This window comes from Homo sapiens, chromosome 9 (assembly GCF_000001405.40).
Source record: "Homo sapiens chromosome 9, GRCh38.p14 Primary Assembly".
In the NCBI taxonomy this organism is placed as follows: Eukaryota; Metazoa; Chordata; class Mammalia; order Primates; family Hominidae; genus Homo; species Homo sapiens.
Genome location: NC_000009.12, coordinates 79,388,764 through 79,412,091, shown reverse-complemented (window position 1 = coordinate 79,412,091; position 23,328 = coordinate 79,388,764). Strand labels below are relative to the sequence as shown.

General features: G+C 39.8%; 1 pseudogene, besides 1 other annotated feature; it reads right to left on the bottom strand.

The window, feature by feature from the left end:
- Window positions 15,460-16,761: an enhancer, noted in NCBI's record as "VISTA enhancer hs1041". NCBI's record gives its function as "enhancer in: neural tube[7/7] | hindbrain (rhombencephalon)[7/7] | midbrain (mesencephalon)[6/7] | forebrain[7/7]" and the evidence as "EXISTENCE:transgenic organism evidence [ECO:0001131][PMID:17130149]".
- On the bottom strand, window positions 20,057-20,825 carry CHCHD2P9 (coiled-coil-helix-coiled-coil-helix domain containing 2 pseudogene 9; annotated as a pseudogene).

The window sequence follows — 23,328 nt, the reverse complement described above, 5'->3', positions numbered from 1 at the left end:
TGTAGCCTCCACACCCTAAAACTTGAATTTTCTTTTCTCTTCAATACTCCACTAACCCTTTAATTGACTGAATTCCTCACTATCCCCAGGTCTCAGCTTAGGAGTCACTTCTTGGAAACAGTCTCTGATTCCCTCAGATTAGGCTAGGGGCCCTTCTCATATTTTCATAAAGCTTTGGACTGTTACCATTGCAGTACTTTCTACTATGTATTGTAATTCCTTTTTACTTATGAACTCCACATCAGAATGACCATTTCTAATTGGTTCACAGCTGAAACCTCAGCACGTCACCATCATTTCTGGCATCAGTAGGTGTCTAAAAAATTGCACTAAATGAATGAATCCTGAGTCTTAAATTATTTACATTATCCATCCCCCAGTCCAATCTGCCCTGGATTCTCACCTTTCTGGGAACCAACTGGCTTTGACATCCTTCTCTCGGTGAACCCAAGAAGTTTGGAGACAGTCTTAGCTTCTCCATCCTAAAAAATAGAGACTCTAGTTTTCCCTGCAGAGTTATCAGGTATTCACAGAAAGGCTAGGCTGTCTGTGGGGTCCCTTGTGCCTGGGATTTTTGGATGCCTTATTAGGCCCCTGGCACTCCCCACCTCTGGTCACCCCAACTCTGGACATTAATTGAGCCTGCTCAGCCCCACCACTTGGGTTGTCTTAATGACTCCCAATAAGCATAATCCACAGTCTTCTTTTATTCGTTTTCAGGGATTCCCTCATATAATTCATGGTGAATTGGACTCTCAACCTCTCTGCTGTGCTGTTCATTGCACCCCACCTCATCAGATTGACTGAAGACCTCTGTGTTACCTGGGATGGTGGAAATTTATCTCCCATTTTACTCCCTCTCCCCACTCCACCCTCATTCCAAAGCTGTTTTTTTCTGCCCTAAATTTACCCCTTCTTCTGACTGATTTTGTACAAAAGACTCTTACTGTGAAATCTTTCTCTCACTAAAAATGCCAACAACCACCAGCCACTTTCCCTTCCTCCCCAGTACACCCTTTAGCTGGTTCTTCTCTGTTCTTGGCACCTCCTAGAGGGAGGTTAATGTAGCCTGAATCTGGGAGTCAAGACCAACAGCTTCTTTTGAATAAACAGCCCGAACATACACACGCATACATAGTGGTGTACACACACATACATAGTGGTGTATACACACATACACAGACACACATACACAGACACACACACACATATAGACACACATGTAAACACACACACACACATATATACGTGTGGTAACATAGCTTTTAAAATATATATATGGGTATATATATATATAAAACCATATATATATATACACACATAACCATGCATATGTATATCTAGTTTTAATATACATACTTTTTTTTTTGGTGAAGTCCAGGATGCAGAGAACAGACTGAACAATGAATCATTATCCCCTTTCTTGACTGCTTTGAATGTCATTTTCTAGTAATCAGAACAGCCGAAGCCAACTAACATTTTCATTTGAGGGAAAAGAAAATCTCCAAGAACTCAGCAGTCATGGTCTTAATAAAGTATATTTAACAACATGTAGTTTTTACACAGTTGTATTAGAATTATTCATAAGGGTAGAAAGGCTACAAAAGCAGCAGTGAAAGGAAATGAATATTTTAAAAGAAGCTTTCCCCAACATATAAAGTAAAATCATGAATGCTAAAACATTTTATTGTCTTTTTAAAATTTTAGAGATGGCATTATCTCCTTTTCATAAGTGTATTAATCTATCCCTTCAACAGTAATTTACTTAGTTCCTACTATGTGTTTGGAATATCTTTAATGCTACATAAATATCAAATCCTTTAAAAAGTAAGTGAATCCAAATATTTATAAAGCTCTTCTTTGAAGAACCAAATTTTTATCCAAATTGTCAAATGGCTACAAGTTATGCTGCCTTTATATTTCTATGCAACACATCTAAAGAGTCTCTGTTGCCCAAATGGTCACTTTTTCCCCAATCATCTACCGCATTCTCATCTTCCTCTTTCATTACTTATCACACCACTGCAGGACGCTAACACATGTATTGAAGGATTTCTTTTGATGTCAGAAATAATTTCTCTATCAGGTAGGATGGAGTGAAGACGCAAGTATTCTTCCCACATATGGGAGAGAGGACTCCTCTTAAACAATCTAGGAACCGATAATAATCAAAAGCTCCTAACAGAAGCACAAACAGGCTTCAAAACTGCCCTGTGTGAAATTTCAGGCTTCTGCAAACAGGAGTTGAGTTTTGTGTTGCAAATGCTGAAACATTAAGAAAAGAACTCACAATTAGACCACCTCTGCAGAGCCCAGAGAGAGACAGGAGGATGGCTTTTCTTCCACATTTGATTTGTTGGAAACCAAATCCAAGGAGATTTTATAGCCTTTTAGAACTCATAAGCCCTTTCATTTTATCTCTGTTTTATAGCCCTCCTCACTGAGACCATAATGCACAGGGGAGATCTGCCAAGACTCCTGAACTCATCTATTCCATTTGTGTCTGTTGACAGGAATCCATCCCATTGTCAGCTGCCACTTCTTCTGCACAAAGGAGGAGTCCATGACTTCAGAATATCAGATAGGATAAGGAGATGATAACAGATTTCAGATCCAGAAAGACCTGGGGTCAAACTGACATAGCGTTTACTTACCACAGATGACATAATTTTTATGAGACTTAGTATTCTCTTATGCAAGATGGGGAAATAATTATGTGCATCTCACAGATTGCTATGGGGACTGAGGGAGGCCACACACGCTCTTTGTTCAAAACTTGTCAGCTGTATGCCTTTGCATTGGTTTCTGTAAAATGGAGCTAATGATAGTATCTATTTCACAGAGTTATTGGGATTATTAAATGAGTTATTTTATATAAAGTACTTAGAAGAACACTGGGTACATAATAGACCCCCATGAATATTATTCTCATTATGAGTGGTAGCAGCATATCTGAAGTCTCTAACACAGGGTCTGCCACATGTGGGTTGTCAGCATATATTACTATCACCCTACTTCTCCTTTATTTTGGGTAAGGGCTTTTATTTGGTGAAAGTTTTCTTGTTTCTAAAATTACATAGTGCCTAGCACATTGCAGACCTTTTGCTATTTTGCTATGTCTCTACAAGGTGACCTGACTGATTTGGAAAGATGAGTGAGCTCCGATTTTGTCTATGGCACCTGCACCTCATTGAACTCAGTTCATCTGAGTCAGAACCTTCATTAACCCTCAAAGTATTCAAGCATCCCATTTTGCTCTGACTCAGTAACTAACTGTGGTTTTTGCTATTTGTGGGCTGTTGACAGCAGACTGGACTTTCACACGAACTATCAAGACGATCTGTACCTCTATCAGTGGGGCCACAAGTAATGAATGTCTAAAGTTACCTCCCTAAGCTCTGTCAAAATGGCCAAAATGCTCCTCATTGGAGACACAGCACTGAGTTAACAAGAAAATACTGTAGCTGAAGTAGGATAGACAGTGAGGGCTCATCAACATGGCAATTTTTGGCCAAGGTCCTTTCTTAGAGAGAATGACTGTCTCTTGGCCCCTAAATAATGGAACACAGGACAACTCAACTTTGATAGAAAGGAGAGATCCACGTATCCATCAGGAAGGGTGGACTTAGGTGGAACTGAATCACTAGAGGGGGCCATAGGAGCATGAAGGGCCCATTGGCAACACCAAAGACAGGCAGGGAGACATCACCAAAGCCAACTCTGTAGCCCCTCTGCACCTCAGTTTGGCCCTGTCAGCCATATGAATCACAGGCAGCATTTATTCAGTTGGGCTTGGCTGACATGCAGTTCTGCATCCCAGTCTCAGCAGAAAATTTGGCTGGTCTTGATCAACTCAGATCCTCTCTCCTCCTGGTTTTGCCCTCTGTGCTTCTCTGCTGGCTCCTCAACAGTTTTTATAAATCCTAGGGTTAGATATCTTGGAAAGAGGCCAGGAAAAGCAAAATCAAGAAAGAAAATGAGGCTCCCTGAGTAGGCCCAGATTTGCTGAGTTTCACCATTTCCTTCCATCCCTTCTATCTTTGTGAGTCTGAATGTTAGAAAGTCTACTTGGGCCAGACTTCAGCATAGGCAGGGTAGGCGGCTGTCTGATATTCAACTTCTATGTTCTGCTTACATGGATTGAGCTTTGCCCACGGCAGGCACTGGGTGATGGGCTTTCACAAACCTCACTTTGTTTCATCCCCACAACAGACCCGAGGATGGCAGGAAATAAAGTGACTTCCCTAAGGTTTCATTGATAGTATAAGTGGAGGTCCCAGATCTGCCTGACCAAAAGGTCTTGATCGGTCTTTTAAAGTTGCAGATGAGGTTGTTTCCTGGGTATGGGGAGTGAATCTTGGTGAGAAACTGAGGGTTTTAAGAACGTGAAAAAAATTGGAAAAATTGTTATGGGAGTTGTAATATACTGAAATGAGACGTTCAACAATGAAGGCTTGGTTGGAGACAGGGGGCAGAGTTTCTGCTCAATAGGAGTGGAGAAATTAGTTGGGCTGAGACTAAAGATTGAGGATTTGTACAGAAACAAGATGTATGGTCTGAATGGCATCCCCCCAAATTTATATGTTGAAGCCCTAACCCTCAATGTGACTATTCAGAGATAGGATCTATAAGAAGGTAATTAAGGTTAAACAAGGTCATAGGGTGCTGCCCTAACCCAACAGGACTGGTGTCCAGAAGAAGAAGAGACACGGCCGGGCGCAGTGGCTCATGCCTGTAATCCCAGCACTTTGGGAGGTCGAGGCGGGCAGATCACGAGGTCAGGAGTTCGAGACCAGCCTGGCCAGCATGGTGAAACTCTGTCTCTACTAAAGATACAAAAAGTTAGCTGGGTGTGGTGGCATGCTCCTATAATCCCAGCTACTTGAGAGGCTGGGGCAGGAGAATTACTTGAACCTGGGAGGCGGAGGTTGCAGTGAGCCAAGATCACCCCATGGTACTCCAGCTTGGGCAACAAGACCAAAACTCTGTCTCTCTAAAAAAAAAAAAAAAAAAAAAAAAAAAAAAAAAAAAGGAAGAGACACTGGAGTTCTTGCTGCACCACATGACGACACAGGGAGAAGGCAGCAATCTGCAAGCCAGCAAGGGAGTGCTTGCTGGAAATGGAATCAGCTGGCACCTTGATCTTGGACTTCTCAGTTACCCTAACTGTGAGAAATTAATTTCTGCTGTTTAAACCATCCAGTCTGTGGTATTTTGTATAGAAACCCAAGCAAACTAAGACACATAAGGTCAAGGTGGGTTTTGTAAGCAAAGCAGTCAGGTAATTTTCAAGGAATTGGATGTTCTTTAAATATGTGAGAATGAACAAGACAGAAGTTGAGAAAGTAGTGGTTAGAGAGGTCTAGAGAATTTTGAGTGGATCATGGATTCCAGGTGTGGCTTTACCAGTGAGTAGCTTCAGTGGCATAGTAAGTGGAGTTGAGGAGGATGACGAACTGGGAATTGAGAATGTCAGCTGAATTGGCAACACAGATATATTGAGGTTGCTGAGAATAATGAGAGAAGAGGAAAAATAAGTCAGAAACTAAAGACGTCACCTCATATTTCTATCATACATTTCGCTAGCTCTAAGAAATGCATCATACATTATTTTCCTCAAGAAAGGGTCTTGTGGAGGAAGCATATAGTAACTTCTTTAATTTTGGGATTCTACACGCCCATTATTTAGACAACCACAACCAAATGTATTCCCATCCTATAAGATTGCTGTCATTTTCCATGTGTCTGAGGGAAACAAAAGGTGGCATTGTTTCAATGACCACTTTGGGGGGTGTACCTAAAGTCTTAGTTAACTATTGATGTTATAAACTAAAAATGTAATGCTTACTCATCTATTATAAGTGAAAGCTGCTCACTAATATCTTATATTTTTGAGGTTTAGGGTTAATGAATAGGGTATTTTCTTTTTCTTTTTTCCCTCTTACCAGGAACCACGTGGCCCTTGTCTCCCTTATTATAATTCAACTACGGATTTGTAGTCACTCACTTAAACAGCATGCAGATTTATATTTGTAGTATATTCATAATTATTTTTAAAAATCTATGCATAAATACTAGAAGGAGTTACATAAAAATATTAACAGGGTGGGTGGGGATGGTGAACTATTATGCTTTAGTCTTCTTTAATACTTTTCAGTTCTAGTTTTACCTTTTTTTATAATGGAAATGTGTTATTTTTATGAAAAAGCAAACCAACAACATTATACATAATATATACTGACTATGCAAATAAATAATTTTTTATCCACCCAGATTCTTTATGTCTTGTAAATGATACTATCATGAATTAAGATATTGCTCAAAGAAGAGGAATTGGAACCTGTTTTGAGCACCTGCTGGATTAATAACTGCTTCTTCCGGGCAAGATTGCCTACATGCAGAGTAGCCAATAAATCTCTTGTCACCTGGTGTACAGTGCCTCATTCAGAAAGAGAAATGACATACGTTTGCAAGCAGATGAACTACCAGAGATATGGACATCTCACACAAAGATAATGCATCATCTCCCTCAATTAGGTACTGGCTCAAATCTGCCAGTTTAGGTAATTAGTACTACATCTCAAATAATGTTCCCTGGTATTGTAGGTTAAATTGTGTGCCCCTCACAAAATGATAAGTCGAAGTCCTGCAAATGTAATCTTGTTATCTCTACAGATATAATCAAGTTCAGATGAGGTCATTAATATGAGTCATAATTCAATATGGTTGATATCTTTATTAGAAGAAGAGAAGAGACAAAAAGACAGAGATACATGAGGAGAGAAGGCCCTGTGTGAAAGAGACAGAAATCGAAGTTCTGGAGCTGCAAGCCAAGGAATGCCAAGGACCACTGGCAGACTACCATAGGCTAGGAAGAGGCCAAGAAGGCTTCCCTCCTGCAGGTTTCAGAGGGAGAATAGCCCTGACACCCCCATGATTCTGGACTTCTCCCCTCTAGAACTGTGAGGCAATGAATTTCTTTTGTTTTAAGCCATGCTGTTTGTGGTGCTTTGTTATGGCAGCCCTAGGAAATGAATGCCCTGTAAAATTACAATTGCTTATTTAGGTCAACAGACATTTATTTAATAAACATTATCTTACATCTCTGTTCAAAACTTTGATGCGTGAAAAGGTATTCATGTGAGCTGGGAGCCTACTGTAGATATTACTAGAGTTGCTTCAAGTTTCTACATAGAGTTAAATATTCAATGTGAAATGGGGTGAATACAAACTCTGGGTACAGAGGGCTGTCAAACAGGGTGAGGCACCAAAAGGAAGAAAACTTCCAAATTAAAATCAAACTTTCTAAATTAAGATCATGTGGCCATGCTATATGGATGGACAAGGTCGAATTCATAGCAAAAGGAAACTAAAATAGTCTCAGGAAGCACCTCAGGAGGAAGGTTTGTTCACAGACAGCTGTTGTGGTGGCAAAGGATTTCCCATTTCCACCGGACCAAGATGGCAACCAGGTTCCATATTCAGCATCATCCCATAACAAAGGCTAGTTGCTGCCAGGAGCACTATGTGGAGTGGCATTGGATGGCTGATTTTAGGGACAGAAGGAAAGAGTGCTGGAAATGATTATCAATGTTTGCCATGGATATAGTTGATATAGTTGGGGGAAATGGTGATAACAGAGCTACAATATATTTAAACTCTGTTGTGAGTTACTACAGTGGTGCAATGATCACAGGCCACTGTCATACACAACTTAATCACACTTCTGAGCTCCTGGCAGGACTTGAAACCATTCAAGCCTGGGGCCTTTTTACAATAATAATATAGTAAGTAAGAGAAATAATTAAACACCATTTTTTGAGTATGCTAAAGGAAATGAAGAATTTAAAGATAATTCCTAAGGGCTTCCTTGACATTTAAGTTTATTTAGCTTCTTCTCATTTCTCATTTTTTTTAAAAATGAAAGGTGATAGACTAGTGTTAATAATTGTTGGCATTTTCTGTTGCAATAACTATGTTTTTTTGTTGTTGCTGTTTTTTGTTTTTGTTTTTGTCCTTGTTTTTTTTTCAGTAACAACCATGTAGAATGAAAATGCTTGCTCAATCATTCTGGATGTAGGTAACCATCGTTATGGGACCCCAGAGTATTTGGAGTGAAAGGCTGTGGCTTGCTCACCATTGATACCTGATGGGTATAATGGTCTACATTTTGATTATGACACTGAGAAGGAAGATAGAATACAACAATCTCTTGACTGGGGACTTGTAAATCTAAGCTCAAATATGGAAGACTGTAGTGAGAATGAATTCCAAAATGCCAACTCAGTTGGGGTTAAAGAAGAGGCTTACAGATCATAGGTCAGCATGCAGGTACACAGTCACCCATTTCTTGGATCCTGCACAGAGGCATGTTTGCACTGGCACCTGGTGGAGGCTCTGTGCTTGTGCTCCAGGGCTGGGACACTTTCTGAGCCTCCTCCACTCCATTGTCCTCTTTTTTAATGGGTCAAGCTTGAGAGCGGCTTTTTTCAGGGGAATCAAAAAGACTCTTTGGATGCCGCACAGACTAAGCTTAAGTGCAGGTATTTGTAGTAATGGGTGGAAAAAGCTGGTTACCCAATCCATGGAGGTCTTGAGAGGTGTGTAGAGTTTCAATCCTTCCTACTTCAGGGAAGACATCCTTCGTCCAAAACAGTTATTTGTCAGGAAACCCAGAAAGCACCTGGGGACATTTTGGAAAAGGTTTTAGTAGATTATATTTCTGTTGAAAGATAGAAGCTCTTATCTACCAGGTTTGTTTCTGTAGAAGGATTATAACTTCTGCTCCACTGGCGTGTGACCTGGCATTTTGACTTGTTTTGGCCAATGGCATGTAAGTGCAAGTGACATGTGACATTTTGAGCAGAGGCTCTGAGAGCTATCATTGCCTTTGCCACCTCTTTTTTTTTCTCTGCCTTGAGACTGATAGGTCCCAGATGGGGGCTTTTTCTTCAGACTTTGTTTCCAAATAGAGCAAGCATGGAGTAGAGCTGTAGCCAATGTATAATGTGAATGAGAAATTAATGTTTGCTGCAGTAAGTGGTTGAAATTTTGGATTTGTTTGCAGCACAACCTGGCAAAAGCTGACCATAACATCATTTCAAAAAGCCACACACTAACTAAGGCAGTTATGGACTATCCCCATTTGTAGAAGGCAATTTCAGGAATCTAGGTAGAACCAAAGAGCTAACAGTCTACAAATAAAAATTAGGCCCCACATTGGTGATTCCAAGGACTCAGAGAAATCTGAAGGCATATCTCAAACTGGAAAAGAATGCAATGAGGGAAAAGGACATGTAGGACATAATTGCTAATACTATTATAAAAGATCAATAGTAGACCAATATGTGGGGTATGTGTGTGTGAGAGAGAGAGAAAGAAAGCCTGAGAAAGAAAGAACTAGGGGGAGGGGGTGAGAGAACAAGAGCTTGGAGAGTTTAAGATTGATTGGCCCAGCAGTGGCCTTTCTCTTTCTCCCAAAGAGTCTAGTCCTCAAACTGTGTGGTGAATATAGTAGTAGTTCCACCTAAGAAATGAAGGAATCCAGCTATTAGGAGACTGACTATAAATGGGAAGGGGGCCAAGGAAGAAATGCCTATACCTTCTCTTAGGAAATACGAGAAGGGAACTGATCCACAGGGGAAATGGGGGTCAAGACAAGCAGTGAGGAACAAGGACCAGACAAGAACCCAACCTCTTAGAAACTGGGATACTGAGGTCAGAGCAGAGCTGGGAACAAACTGGATCAATACTGAAGCAGCGAGGTACCAACTTTATGTTTCCCTCCAGGAAACTGCTTGGAGGCTGGAGTGGTTCAGAAGCTGCAGGAAGAATTTAAGTGGTTTTATCTGTGTAGGTTGTAAGACGGAATTATTACGTTCTGATGTTATGTGATAGGATAAAGAAGCAGGCCGATTATCTCCATCTTTTAATAGATGTAATGAAATCAAACCAGGCCAAAAAAAACCTCTTTTTTTCTCTAACTTCAGACAGCCTTCCCAAAGCTATGGGAATTCTTGGTGCATAGTGCAAGATGGCTGTGGAAAGAATTCTTTTTTCCTTCAGTCTACAGATTTATAGAGCTAAACAATGTGACCTGATGTGTTCCCATCAAATAAATGATCACAGCTTTTGTAACATATGATTTTTCTTTCTTTGTATTTCAGCATCAATGTGGCTTTACTACTGAACTAGCTTGCATTGAAGTTGCCTTAAATTCTTAAACAAGGGATCAATCATTTTCAAAGAATGATGTGGCAGAGATTGCTATTTGTCCCAATATCCATTTCCCCCCTCATCTTGTTGTTTGTTGGCCAAACAATATGGAAGCTGCAGGAAGAATTTAAGTGTTTCTATCAGTGTAGGTTATAGGATGGAATTCTCAATTTTTAGCTAGGCACTTGGCCACCGCAACCAAAGGATAGATTTCTCAGTCTTTCTTAGGTCTTGGTGCGGGGATATGACTAAGCTCTGGCCAATGGAAGGCCTGTGAGTGGGAAGTGTGCAAATGTGTATGAAGAAAAGGGCATATTCCCTTTCCTCTCTCCATTATTCTCCAGCTAGACTCTGGACAAGGTGCTGAGCTATCTTGAATCATACAGTTGAGGACAATACTCTAGGGATGGTAAAGAAACAAGATTAAATAGCTGAATCCATAGCCTAGTAGATAAAAATGGCAAATCAGGCTTTTATTTGCTTCCCAGGAGAAAGCTGGAACAGGATACTGGATGAATTAAAAAATCAGAACTGATGTTGGGAAATATATACACCAAGAGAAATAGATACACAGCCAGGAATTTAGTCTTCTGCATTGCAGGAGTGGATAGAAGGAAGGAGGTTAAAGGCCAGAGAAAGAGCACGTTTTCTTCTATTGACTTATTTTCTGCTGCAAACAGACTTCATTCCTGAGCATCATTACAGAGTCAGCATATGCACTTGTAAGGCATCTAGAGTCTCATTCTTCTTACTAAGCTTCTATATATATATATATATATACACACATATGTATATATATGTATATATATATTGGTTGGAGCTTGTGATGCTCACCCAAACTTCTGCAATCTTTGTTACAATTGCCCTCATCACAAGAAAACATCATTGATCCAATGCACACGGCTCTACTTCTTTTCCATTGTCTTCTCCTAGTTAACTCCTAATTACTCACAATGTGTTAGCTTAATCTCCCACAAGGAAGTCTTCACTGATTAAGGCTGGACTCCTGCTATATGCTCTCATAGTAAACTCTACTTCCACTTTCAGGGCACGTGACACGTTCTATTTGAAATGTCTTGCTGCATATATCTGGATTCTCCAAGAGGTTATGTACTCCATGGAGCATAGGCTGTGTCTCTCTGGCCCACTACTGAATTGCTAGTACCTAGTGCAGTACTTGCATATTTGTGTACATTAGTAAAATGAATGTTTGGATAAGTCAGATAATTGGTTGAGAAGTAGGTGAGTTCTAATTTCCTTATAGATTCTGCATGGAGTCCAACACTCATATGATATATCTGAGCTGCCCAAGCCATTTTTCTGTCATGTCCTACCCAGGAGTGATCTACTAAAAACAAGGTTTGAGCCTGTCTTCCCTCTTGCCTCCCTATGGAAAACTTAACTTGTCTCATGTCATACTTTCTCAAATGCTTAATTTATGTCAATATGATAATGTTTATAAGGCAATTTAGGTGCTACTAGGTTTATACAGTAATCTTAGATTGTTTTTCAATGATTTTTTTAAGTTTTTAAATTGACAAATAAAAATTGTACATGTTTATCATGTAAAATGATGTTTTGAAATATGTATACATTGTGGAATGGCTAAACGAAGCTAATTAACACATGTATCACCTCACATACTTATCATTTTTATGGCCAATTGAGAATTTTTAATGAATAGCTTGACAGTGAAACAAATGATCTAAAAAAGTCTCAATTTAGAGATACATTGCTTTTGTTGACAGTACTAAATAGCACTATCATCTTTCCTTTCATTTTCCAGAGATTCTAGAAATATGATTTTCAATATTTTCATGAAAAGAGGCTATTTTGATTCTTCACAGAAGCACTGAGGAAAGGAAGGTTTGAAATGATTCTAGAGTCTCCTGCCAGACTGTAATGAACTCGTTTGTTTGTTCATTTTAGCAAGTGGTGTGCACCACTTTTAAACTTGGCTTGTAAAATCTCCCTTGTATGCTCCTTCATACCCTTTCCCTTTTCAGCTCTCTGAGATGGTGACCTCACTCCTCCAATACCACAGTGACATTGGAAGCCATGTGCTGAACCTGGAGAGCCACCATCAATCTGGATCTCTTCATAACTTTGTGTAGTAGAATGCCTATTGCCTTTCTCACTCTGGAAATGTTGGGGAAAGATTCTCCACGAGTTTCTCCTGTTTCTGCAGGTCTTTCAAGTAGAGGCACTGACAGCTTTTGTTCTGGACTGCATATTTTTATTAATTAAACTTTTTATTTTGAGGTAATTGCAGAATCACATGCAGAAATAATACAGAGAGATCTCGTATACACTTTACTCAGTTTTCTCCAATGCTAACATCATGTAAAACTATAGTGCACATCACAACCAGGATATTGACATTGATGCAGTCTAGCAATCTTACTCAGATTTCCCGAATTTTACTTATACTAGTTCATGAATGTGTGTGTGTGGGCAATTGCATAGTTTTATGTAATTTTGTCACATTGCAGATTCATGTATCCTCCACCACAGTCAAGATACAGAAACGGCTCCACCATCACAGAAATCCCTCATTTTGCCCGTTTAAGGCCATGTACCTTCTTTTCTTCCTATACCGCTAACATCCAAAAACCACGCAATATTTTCCATCTACATATTTTGCCCATTCAAGAATGTTACATAAAATGCAAGCATGTAACTTTTTAGAATTGACTTTTTTGACTCAGTATAATTTCCTTAAGATTCATCCAAATTATTGCATGTATGAACAGTTTGTTTCTTTTTATTGCTCAGTAATATTCCACGCTATGGATATATAACAGTTTGTTTGACCACTCACCCTTTGAAGGACAGGAGAGTTCTTTCTGGTTTTTAGCTATTATGTATAAAGCAGTTATGGACATTTATGCACAGGTTTTTGTGTAAACATAGTTTTTATTTTTCTGGGTGGGAGGCCCAAGAGTCCAATTGCTCATTCATACAGTAGTTGCATTTTTAGTTTTTTTTGAGAAATTGACTTGCTCAATTCTGGAGTGGCTGTAGTATTTTATATTTCTATTGGCAATATATAAGTAATCCAGTTTTTGTATTGTTGTCAGCATTTTGTGATACTACTATTTTGTCTATTAAGCATTCGAATGGGTATGAAGTGATATCTCACCGTGGCTTTAATTAGCATTTCCCTAATGGCTAATGATGCTGAACATCTTTTTATGTGTATATTTGTCATCTGTACATCTTCTTCAGCAAAATTTGTGTCTTTTGCTTATTTTCTAATTGGATTTTTTTTTACTGTTGAGTTTTGAGAGTTCTTTACATATTTCTGTTACTAGTACTTTGTTGGGTATATGGTTTGTAGCTATTAAAATTTTCTACCAGGCTATAACTTGTCTCATCAGTGTCTTATATTTATTTTTTTACAAAAACTGCCTTAAATTTTCCTTTCATTGAGTAAGAAACTTTCACAGATCAGAGGGGAAGACATTTAGGACCTTTCTGTTCTAACTAAGCCAATTTTAAGGCACACAGTCAAAACAGTATTGCTTAGACTGTAGACATTGTGCACTTCACTTACTAACTTCATTATATTACTTCCTTACTTGAAAATTTTCAGTGATTCCTCATTACCCCAAGGATAAATGCTGCATCCTTAAGCCAAAACACCCCATGTTTTATAGAACTCATTAGTCTGATTACTTTTTCACTGTCCTCTCAACATACTGTGGGAATTCTTAACTTTTCATCTTTTGTTATTTTCATTGCCCTTACCAAACACAGCTTCCTTCCTCCTCTCCATTCATCCACCTGTGTTGAAGGATGGGTTCAAATGAACTGATATGGAGCTGTGGGGAGAGTAGGGAGGGGAAGAAAAGATAAAGGGAGGGCACCTGGTTAGGAAATTTGTTAATGCAGGGGAGGGACTGCACGGCCTGAATTAGCAAAGTGGCCGAGGTAGGGGGTTGTCTTAGTCCATGCTGTGCGGCTGTTAACAGAATACCACAGACTAAGTAATTTATAAACAATGGAAATTTATTTCTCATGATTCTAGGGGCCAGGAAGTCTAAGGTCAAGGGGCTGGCAGGTTTGGTGTCTGATGAGGGTCTGGTCTCTGCTTCCAAGATGGGGCCTTAAATGCTGCATCCTCAAGAGAGGAGGAACGCTCTTTCTCACACTATGGAAGAATAGAAGTGGGTGAGACAGGCACGAACTTGCCCTTTTGTAATGGCACCAATCCCACCAGTGAGGATGGGGCCATCATGCCCTGATCACCTCTCAAGGGTCCCACCTTTTAATACTGTTAAAATGGCAATTGAATTTCAACATGAGTTTTGGAGGGGCCAAACATTCAAACACATAGCAAGAGGTAAAATGGTGAACTAAAATTCTATGAGGAAGAATAATGGACAGGAGAGCGTTGGGACTATGGGAGCTCAAGAAACTCCTTGGAAGAAAGAAATTAGGGACTTGATTTGAGAGAAAAAAGTGATACACCTTACATTTTTGGTTTTGTTTCCCTTACCTTGTCTTTCCTTTCCTGGATATTGAGGCCTTACATGGAACCAGGTCGTAGAGTCCACACTGCCCACTGCTCCATATTCTCCAAGTCCAACTTCTCACTAGTGGGACTCCTTAAGCTCCTCTGTCTTCTTCTAGACAACTTTACTCACTCTGGTAGCTGGCAATGAAGAGGGAGTGGCGTATTCTTTTTTTTTTTTTCCTCCCAAGATAGAGTCTCACTTTTGCGAGATATTGGCTCACTGCAAACTCTGCCTCCTGGGTTCAAGCAATTCTCTGCCTCAACCTCCCGAGTAGCTGGGATTACAGGCACCCGTCACCACGGCCGGCTGATTTTTGTATTTTTAGTAGAGACGGGATTTCACCATCTTGGCCAGGCTGGTCTTGAACTCCTGACCTTGTGATCCACCCACCTCAGCCTCCCAAAGTGTTGGGATTACAGGCATAAGCCACCGCACCTGGCTGGAATGGAGTATTCTAAACTTAGTTGTCTTTCTTTCTTCTCCTTCTCCATTCTAGAAGCGGGCAGCATTGGTTTTGCAGCTCCTAGCTCACTAGGTCTGTTACAATTAACAAGGGAGACTAACTTGACCTCTTGCAAACAGATTTTGAAGGGTGACAACTCCCTTTATCCTTGGTCCTCTGTGCATACGGTGGTATGTGGCCTATAAACGTAGGGATAATGGAGCTGCAGACCCAAATCGCACCATAATCCAAAAGTATCCCACAGATAACATCTCCTCTCGTCCATGGTTAATGCTGGGAGTTACTACTTAGGCCAGCTCCTTGATTCAAATAACAAGGGGCCGTTCCACCACCCCTAACTGAATAAATAATAGATTTTTACGTTGCTTTTAGACAAAAATTTCTCTTTTCTATTTTACTGCTTGTTCTTCCTTCCTGCCCTCACCCGAGTCTACATACCTTTCCCTTGAAGCAGAAACATAAGTCTGCCATTTAACAAAACCCCAATAACGATCCTTCTTGAAAGGACAAGGGCTAATAATCACTACCCATTTAACATTCCAGTCACGTGATGGTGAAGGAGAATAAATCAGTTAAACAGCAAGATGCAGCACAACTAATTTTCATGTAAAAGGGGGTGATTGCTTTTTTTTTGAAAACCATTGTGATTTCTTAAAGCAGTTAAAGCCTAAACAACCTTGTCTATCAGTTTATGAATTATTAATAAAAAAAGAGAAAAGAAAAAAGGCTTTCTTTTTCTAAATATCATCTGCTAAGCCACCATGACCTGAAGAGGCTCACACTGATTCCTGATTTACATAGTCCCAGTTGGAAGTTAATGAAGACTGCTGAGCCACCTTTCAACATGCAGATAAACCTTCATGTATTTAAAAGCAGGGAATCTGTGCTTGTTCCTGGCAAATTATTCATCTAAGATCTGAAGTTTCTGACACCGCCTGCGTCAGATAAACTGTCACCCAAATTGCAAACTAATTAGTGATTCAAACATTTTCGAGCTGATTGATGACAGAATAATTTACGCTTGTTTCTCAGTTTCCAGCTGGCACGGGCTGCTGACTGGAGCCCTAATTAACGCGAGTACATCAGTCATGTTCTGCCAAGGCAGCACATACAATTAAAAGGCAGTTTAAATGGAATATCACATTAAAAAGGCTGGGAGATGCAAATGTGAGGAAACAGTGCTTTAGGAAGAAATGACAACAAAAACCCAAAAACCAAAACAGAATGGAAAAAAGATTTTTTTTTTTTAATGGAGAAGTAAATTGTACTCTGCATTGAGTATTTAACAAAAAAAATAACTGAGAGGAGTCAAACTGGGCATACTAAATATTTTTGTATTTAAGGAGTTTTACTGAGATGAGTGTTTACTGCTCTTTTTAGTGCACACAGTTTGGAGAATAGCTTTGAAAATATGTTCTCAAAAAAGGGAACCGCCTCTTCCTCCTAAGCAGTGTTGGGATGGGCGGGATTCCTTACAGGAGTCAAAGATTGTTCCTGTTCACCGAATCGTCAGTTCTGTCTTCTGGGCTGAGTTCACAATGACCTTCTCTTGGTGGTTCTGGTCCCCACCCTCCTTTGACACTTTGGTCTACCCCAAGCCCATGAAACTTAGAACTGCCTCACATTATTTATGTTGCTTGTTTTAAAATGTTTTTAAAGAGACTATTCTTAAAGGCAGTTTTAGGTTCACAGCAAAATTGAGCAACAAGTACAGAGTGTATCCTTGCCTCAACACACATACAACCTTCCTCGCTATCAGCATCCCACTGATATTTTTACTGTCTCCACAGTTTTCCCTTTTCCAGAATGTCATAATAGTTGAAATCATACAGTATGTAGCCTTTTTTTTTCAGGCTGCCTTCTTTCACTTACTAACACGCATTTAAGAATTTTCTGTGTCTTTGCATGGTTTGAGAGCTAATTTCTCTTGAGTATTCAATAATATTCCATTGTCTGGATATACCACAGTTTATTTCTCCCTTAGCCTACTGAAGGACATCTTGGTTGCTTCCAAGTTTTTGCAACTATGAATAAAGCTACTATAAATTTCTACGTGTGGGTTTTTGTGTGGACATACGTTTTCACCTCCTTTGGGCAAATACCAAGGAGTGTGATTACCGGAGCATTCATTAAGTTCTCACATGTACATGCTTTACCTCTTTCAAACTGCAAGCCGCTTGAGGGCAAGGACCACATCTTATATCTCTTTGCATTTCCCACAGAGCATGGCATGATGTTTTGCAGAGAATAACAATACATTGTATTATAATTTCTGGTTTACATGGTTTTCTATAGCTTCTTCTTCTCTTCTTCTCCTCCTTCTTTCTTACATTTCTTGATTGCTTTGTACAGTCCAGGATAACTATGCAGTGTTTTTATACTCGTATAACAATACCTATAATAACTCGTACTGTGGGTACAATGATTATTTTCTGTTTTTTGATAAGGAGGCAAACTCAGAAGTCATAAATTGCCCAGGACCATTTAGCCAGTGAAGAGAGCTGGGCCTCCTAAGGACGAACTGGATTGCTTCTCCTCTGAGGCTGCAAACTTCCTTTAGCGCTTTTAAAGAATCTAAGAATTCTCAGGACCCTGGAGTGAGTAAGTAGCAAAACCAGGTTTAGAAATCAGATTTACAGAGTTCTTCTAATCCATTTTCTGTTATAGTATTTATGCTGAGCCGACATACATAGACTTTGTTCATCCCCAGTCTTTGATTCCAGAAAGGACTCTTTCTGTACTTCAGAAGCCATTCGTTCCACAAATAATTAGTGAGTACCTGTTCTTTTCTATGCACAGAGCTTGGCTCTGGAAATATTGCTGTGTAAAAACCCAAAGTCGTACCCTGTGAGCCTACAGTCTAGAGAGACATTGATTGTATGTTAACACAATCGTAATTAATGAATCACGACTAGGACAGGTGTTAAGAAGGGAGGAGTGTGATGATGGGGTCAACGTGAGGGGGACTGTTTAGCTCACTTTCAGGAATTGCACCATAAGGATGTGACTATGCAGCAGAAAACTGACAAGGGTGTAGACTGAGGCAGGAATGTACTCCAGCCATTGAGGTATGGTCTGTGTAGGTTACAACCATGCTCAGATGCAACGGAGGGAAACTGATGTTATGAGCAAAGATGAGGAGATGTCTAATCATGGGTTAATCTCACAAAATACGTGGAAGTTGCACTTTCGTAGAGCCACTAATCTCCTGAGGAGCAAGGAGGTAAATATCTATTTGAGGGCCACAGATATTTCCCTTCTCCAAAAATCCCAAGGCAAGAATATGTTATAAGAATTGGCTTCTCTAGGTGGGCCCATCCCTGAATGGACAGGTGATGCAGGGTCTCCTGAATGTCATGTACATTGTGTCTAGGGTCCTACTGTGTGCAGAGGGCAGAGAATCCAGTGTAGCTTTAAAGAGGAGTGACTAGTTACTTTTTTCCTTTTGAGTGTCTGTATGTATGTACACATATATATACAAAAAACCTAATAAACAGAGATCTACTTGTCAACCACCTAATAAATGAATGTTATTATTTTGCCATACTTAGTTATACTCTTTCTCTGTTTTAAAGAAAGGACTGTAAGATGACAGCTGAGGTGCAACACCCATCCTTTCCCTTTCCCTCCCTTCTCAGAGCTAACTATCAACTGAAGGTGGTCTGTATTTTGTATTTTTTTTTTTTCTTTTTGAGATGGAATCTAGCTCTGTCGCCCCGGCTGGAGTGCAGTGGCATGATCTCGGCTCACTGCAACCTCTGCCTCTCGGGTTCAAGTGATCCTCCTGCCTCAGCCTCCTGAGTAGCTGGGACTACAGGCACAAGCCACCACGTCTGGCTAATTTTTGTGTTTTTTAGTAGAGACAGCATTTCACCATATTGACCAGGCTGGTCTCGAACTCCTGACCTCATGATACGCCCACCTCGGCCTCCTAAAGTGCAAGGATTACAGGGTGAGCCACCATGCCCAGCCTGTATTTTTAAAAAACTTTTACTTTGTTTTTACTTTTAAGTTGTATTTATAATTTTACTATAGAAATATCTATAAAAATATGATTCTGTGTATTTAAAAAAATTTACACAAATGGTATGCTACTGTGTATTTCATTTTCAATTGTTTTTTAATTCACCATTGTGTTTCTGAGATTTATCCGGGTAGAAGCAGTCAATTCATTTTAACTCTTGTATACTTTCATAAAAATGAATTAATCTCCAGTTCTATTATCCTGTTCCTTACAGATGAAAGCTGTTTCCACTCTTTTCTGTTATAAACAGGGCTGCAATGCACATCTTTGGACAGTCTTCTTACGCTCATGTGTGGGAATTCCTGCAGATTGTGTTTCTGGAAGTGGAATTGCTGGGTTGCAGGCGATGCATGCATGGAGTCAGGCTGACTAGGAACTACCAAATTGTTTTCCACAGTGATAATACAAATTATACCCAGATTATATCCTGCTTTCCCACGTTCTTGCCACCACTTGATGTTTCCACATTTAAAAGTTGTTCCAGTCTTTCAGAAGCGAAATGATATTTCATTGTTGCTTTAAGTTGCATTTCCTTGATTATTAGTGAGGTAGAGACCATTTTCATTAGTTTATTGGACATTTAGATTTTTGTCTTTGGTGAGTTGCTGTGTATATCCTTTGTCCGTATTCTTAGGGTGTTTTATTAGTAGTAGTAATTATTTGTGGGAATTCTATATTTATTCTGGATACTACTGCTTTATCAACAAATAGTTCCTTCTAGTATATAACTTGTCTTTTAAATTTGTTTAAAAGTTAGGATATGATTGATTTCTAACCAATGCCATGGAACATATTCTTTCACATGAGAATTGTTTATTCAAAGTCATTGTTTTTTTGGAAGAAAATGACTTTATTCTAATCAACTCACAAAGAATAAAATCATAACAGCTAGTTTAAGGAGGCCACACAAACATTTGCCCAGTCCCAGATTGTACAGAGTAGGAACACCCATCCCCCTCCCATTTCAATTCTGAAGCAAGGAAGCTAGGAATGACAGGAGAGGTTTAACTGATGGTTACACTTTATACCCTCACTATCAATTCTATTTTTATACTAAATTAACTTAGTTATGAGAGCTGACTTTCCATCTCTCCAGGTTGAACTTCTTGATTAGGCCAATCCTTTTGCAAGTCGGCACTGTTTCAGCACCTTACTGAAATCCTCACAGAGCTTGATGTCGCCCTGGTTCTGGGCACACTCCAGAAACTGTTTGATCCCATAGAAGCAAGGCTGCTGCTGCTGTGCCGGCTGGGTTCCCTGAGGCTCCTGGTAAGCGATGTCAGGCCTCGCAGGCTCAGCATTACTTCCTCCACTGAAGCCTCCGGTAACGGCGTGACCCTGTGTGTGCCCCACAGCAGAGCCCACAGCCACGCCAGCTGCAGTGGTTGCCATCTGGGCCATCAGACCTGGCTGCCGGGGCGCAGCAGCAGAAGAGCCAACTGCAGATGGGGGTGCCGCTGCTGGTGGCTGAGCAACTGGTGCTGGCCTGGGTGCAGCTCTCATCTGAGGGGCCCGGCTGGCTGGAGGGGCCATGCGGGAGGTGCGGCTTCGGCTTCCACGCGGCATCCTAGGTACGCGACGGCTCGGCCTCTGGACGTGTGACCTCAAAGTCATTTTCTTAGGGGTTTCTGTAACTGGTCCCACAATGCTGGCACGCCTAAAACTTTTTGGGATTTCTATCTTGGAATTGCATTCAAAGTCAGTAGGACGATTAATGAAGGAAATGAGTTTTGTTCATTTAGAGGCAGAGTTGACAAAATTTTTCTGTAAAGTGCCCAGATAGTAATTATTTAAAAATTTGCAGGCTAAGTTGCACCTACTCAACTCTGCTGTTGTCCTGAGTGAAAGCAACTGTAGAGAGCATGTAAACAATGAGCATGGCTATATTCCAATACTACTTTATCTACAAAAACCAGGCTGTGGGCCAGATTTGCACTAGAGTCACTGCTTTACAGTCACATATTACTTTTGATTGGTAAACTTATTGCACGGTGTGATTAATCTTTATTTACAAAATTTGGTAACGTATGTCATTTGGTTGCTGTCAGTAATGAAATTCACTCGGAAAAATGAAGAGCCACCTCTACTGGGAACATGAATGTTGAAAATAAAGTGAGATAGGATACAAAGGGAATGAGAAAATCAAACAGCTAGAAATATTTGAGCCATGGCCCCTGACCTTCCAATGCAATCGCTTTAAAATCTTCTGGGCTGACTAAATGCTGTGAAAACACCCCCAAATCTCAATGACAGCACAATAAGCTTACTTCTCCCTTTCTTACTGGGCCAATGTAGGTTAACTGGAGTCAGAGGAATCTAGTTTCTTTCCCTTTAGTGGTTCAGTCATGTCTCAGATGGTCTTGAGAATCTCCAACAGCTGCTCTGCGTGTGACTAAGAGATGAGGAAAGAGAGGGAATATGATGACTGTGCTGAAGGGTTTATGGCAGGCCTTAGGTGGAGGGTGCATGGTTCCCTTCTGCCCACATTTTAGTGGACAGACTCAGTCGTATGACTGCACCTAACTGTAATGGAGGTTGATGAATGTAATGTGGATGTACTTACTTTCTCTGACGCTGAGGAATGTATTTGGTTGGTGCAAAAGTAATTGCGGTTGTTTGGTAAAGCAATTGGCAAAACCACAATCACTTTTGCACCAAGCTAATAGTATAATCATAAGCTCAGGAAGAAGAGGACATGATGGGGTGAACATCTAGCTAATCTTTAGTATATCATTTGAAGAGCACAGGGTCTTTTAGGGGTAAGAGTTTAGTGTTTTTGTTGTTGTTGTTGTTTGTTTGTTTTATTGAGCATATTACTACATAGCCACATTTTATAACTAAAAAATGGTTAAAACTCTTGAGTCCTAGCTAAGCACCAGGTTAACCTATATGTTTATATTTAGTGATGCAAATAAATGATTCATTAATCTGAGCTAATGCCTGCCTAATGCACAACAGAAGCATTACTACCGGATTTTTACTTCATGCCCCCCAAAAGGGAACCAATGTTTTTAAAATGAAGACACAGTACGATTTAATTTGAGGAAAGAATAACGTAAGGCAAGTCTGTAAGTGACCAATGCTCTTTTATCCAAGTTCGCCAGAACTGTGCCAAGGGGAAGGCACATGCATGGTGATTTGAGAAAACCATTCATTTAAGCTACATGCCTTCTTTTTAGAACTAGGGGAATCATGTGTGCTAGGGTAAAAAACTCGATTACAACTCCTCAGGAGATCATAAAGTATAAAAATCACAGGATTTGGAGTTTTTGTTTCTGGCTTCTATAAATACTGTGAGACCTTAGGTACATTTTTGTTTTACTTTCTCTGAGCTTCAGTTTTTTGTCTCGTAAAATGGACATAAGATCTACCTTGTAGGGCTGCTGTGAGAATTAAATTAGAAGATGTATGTAGAAGCAAGTACACTATGAATTACAGATCCCCTTCCTCTCCTTTACTGCCAGCTCAGTCATTTACTAGTTGTTTGAACTTAAGAAATTCTCTTTACCTTTCTGGGCTTAGTTTTCTCATCTGTAAAATGAAAGTGTTGGGTTAAATAATATCTAAATTCTTTTGAGCTCTAAAATTCATGGACAATGTGTCAGAGTTTCATATAAATGACTTTAGCTCAAATGGAATATTTTAGGGGCTTAAGAAAATATAATTTTGAAAATAAAGTCATTCTTGAAAAGCACTTTTATGATCTCTTGTGTATATGTGTATATGGAGGCAGATTAAAGTAAGATGAAAGGAGCTCCATGTGCAGTAACTGTTTTTCAGTTACCATATAAACCAGGGTAAGGATTTAAGATAGAGCAGGTCTCTATTTCCATACCTCTTGATAATTTCCCCTCCTTTGAATATTCACTCAGCTCAAACATCCCTTATGACATTGGCCTTGTTTTCCTTGTCCTTAAGATTCTTATACAAATCCTAACCCCCTCCTAAATTGTTTAGGTTGGCGCAAAAGTAATTGTGGTTTTTGCCATTGAAAGTAATGACAAAACCACAACTGCTTTTGCATCAACATACTTTTCTTTGAGAGCAGAATCTATGTCCTATTCTGGTCACCTTTATAGATCCCTCCATAAAGACTAGTATAACAG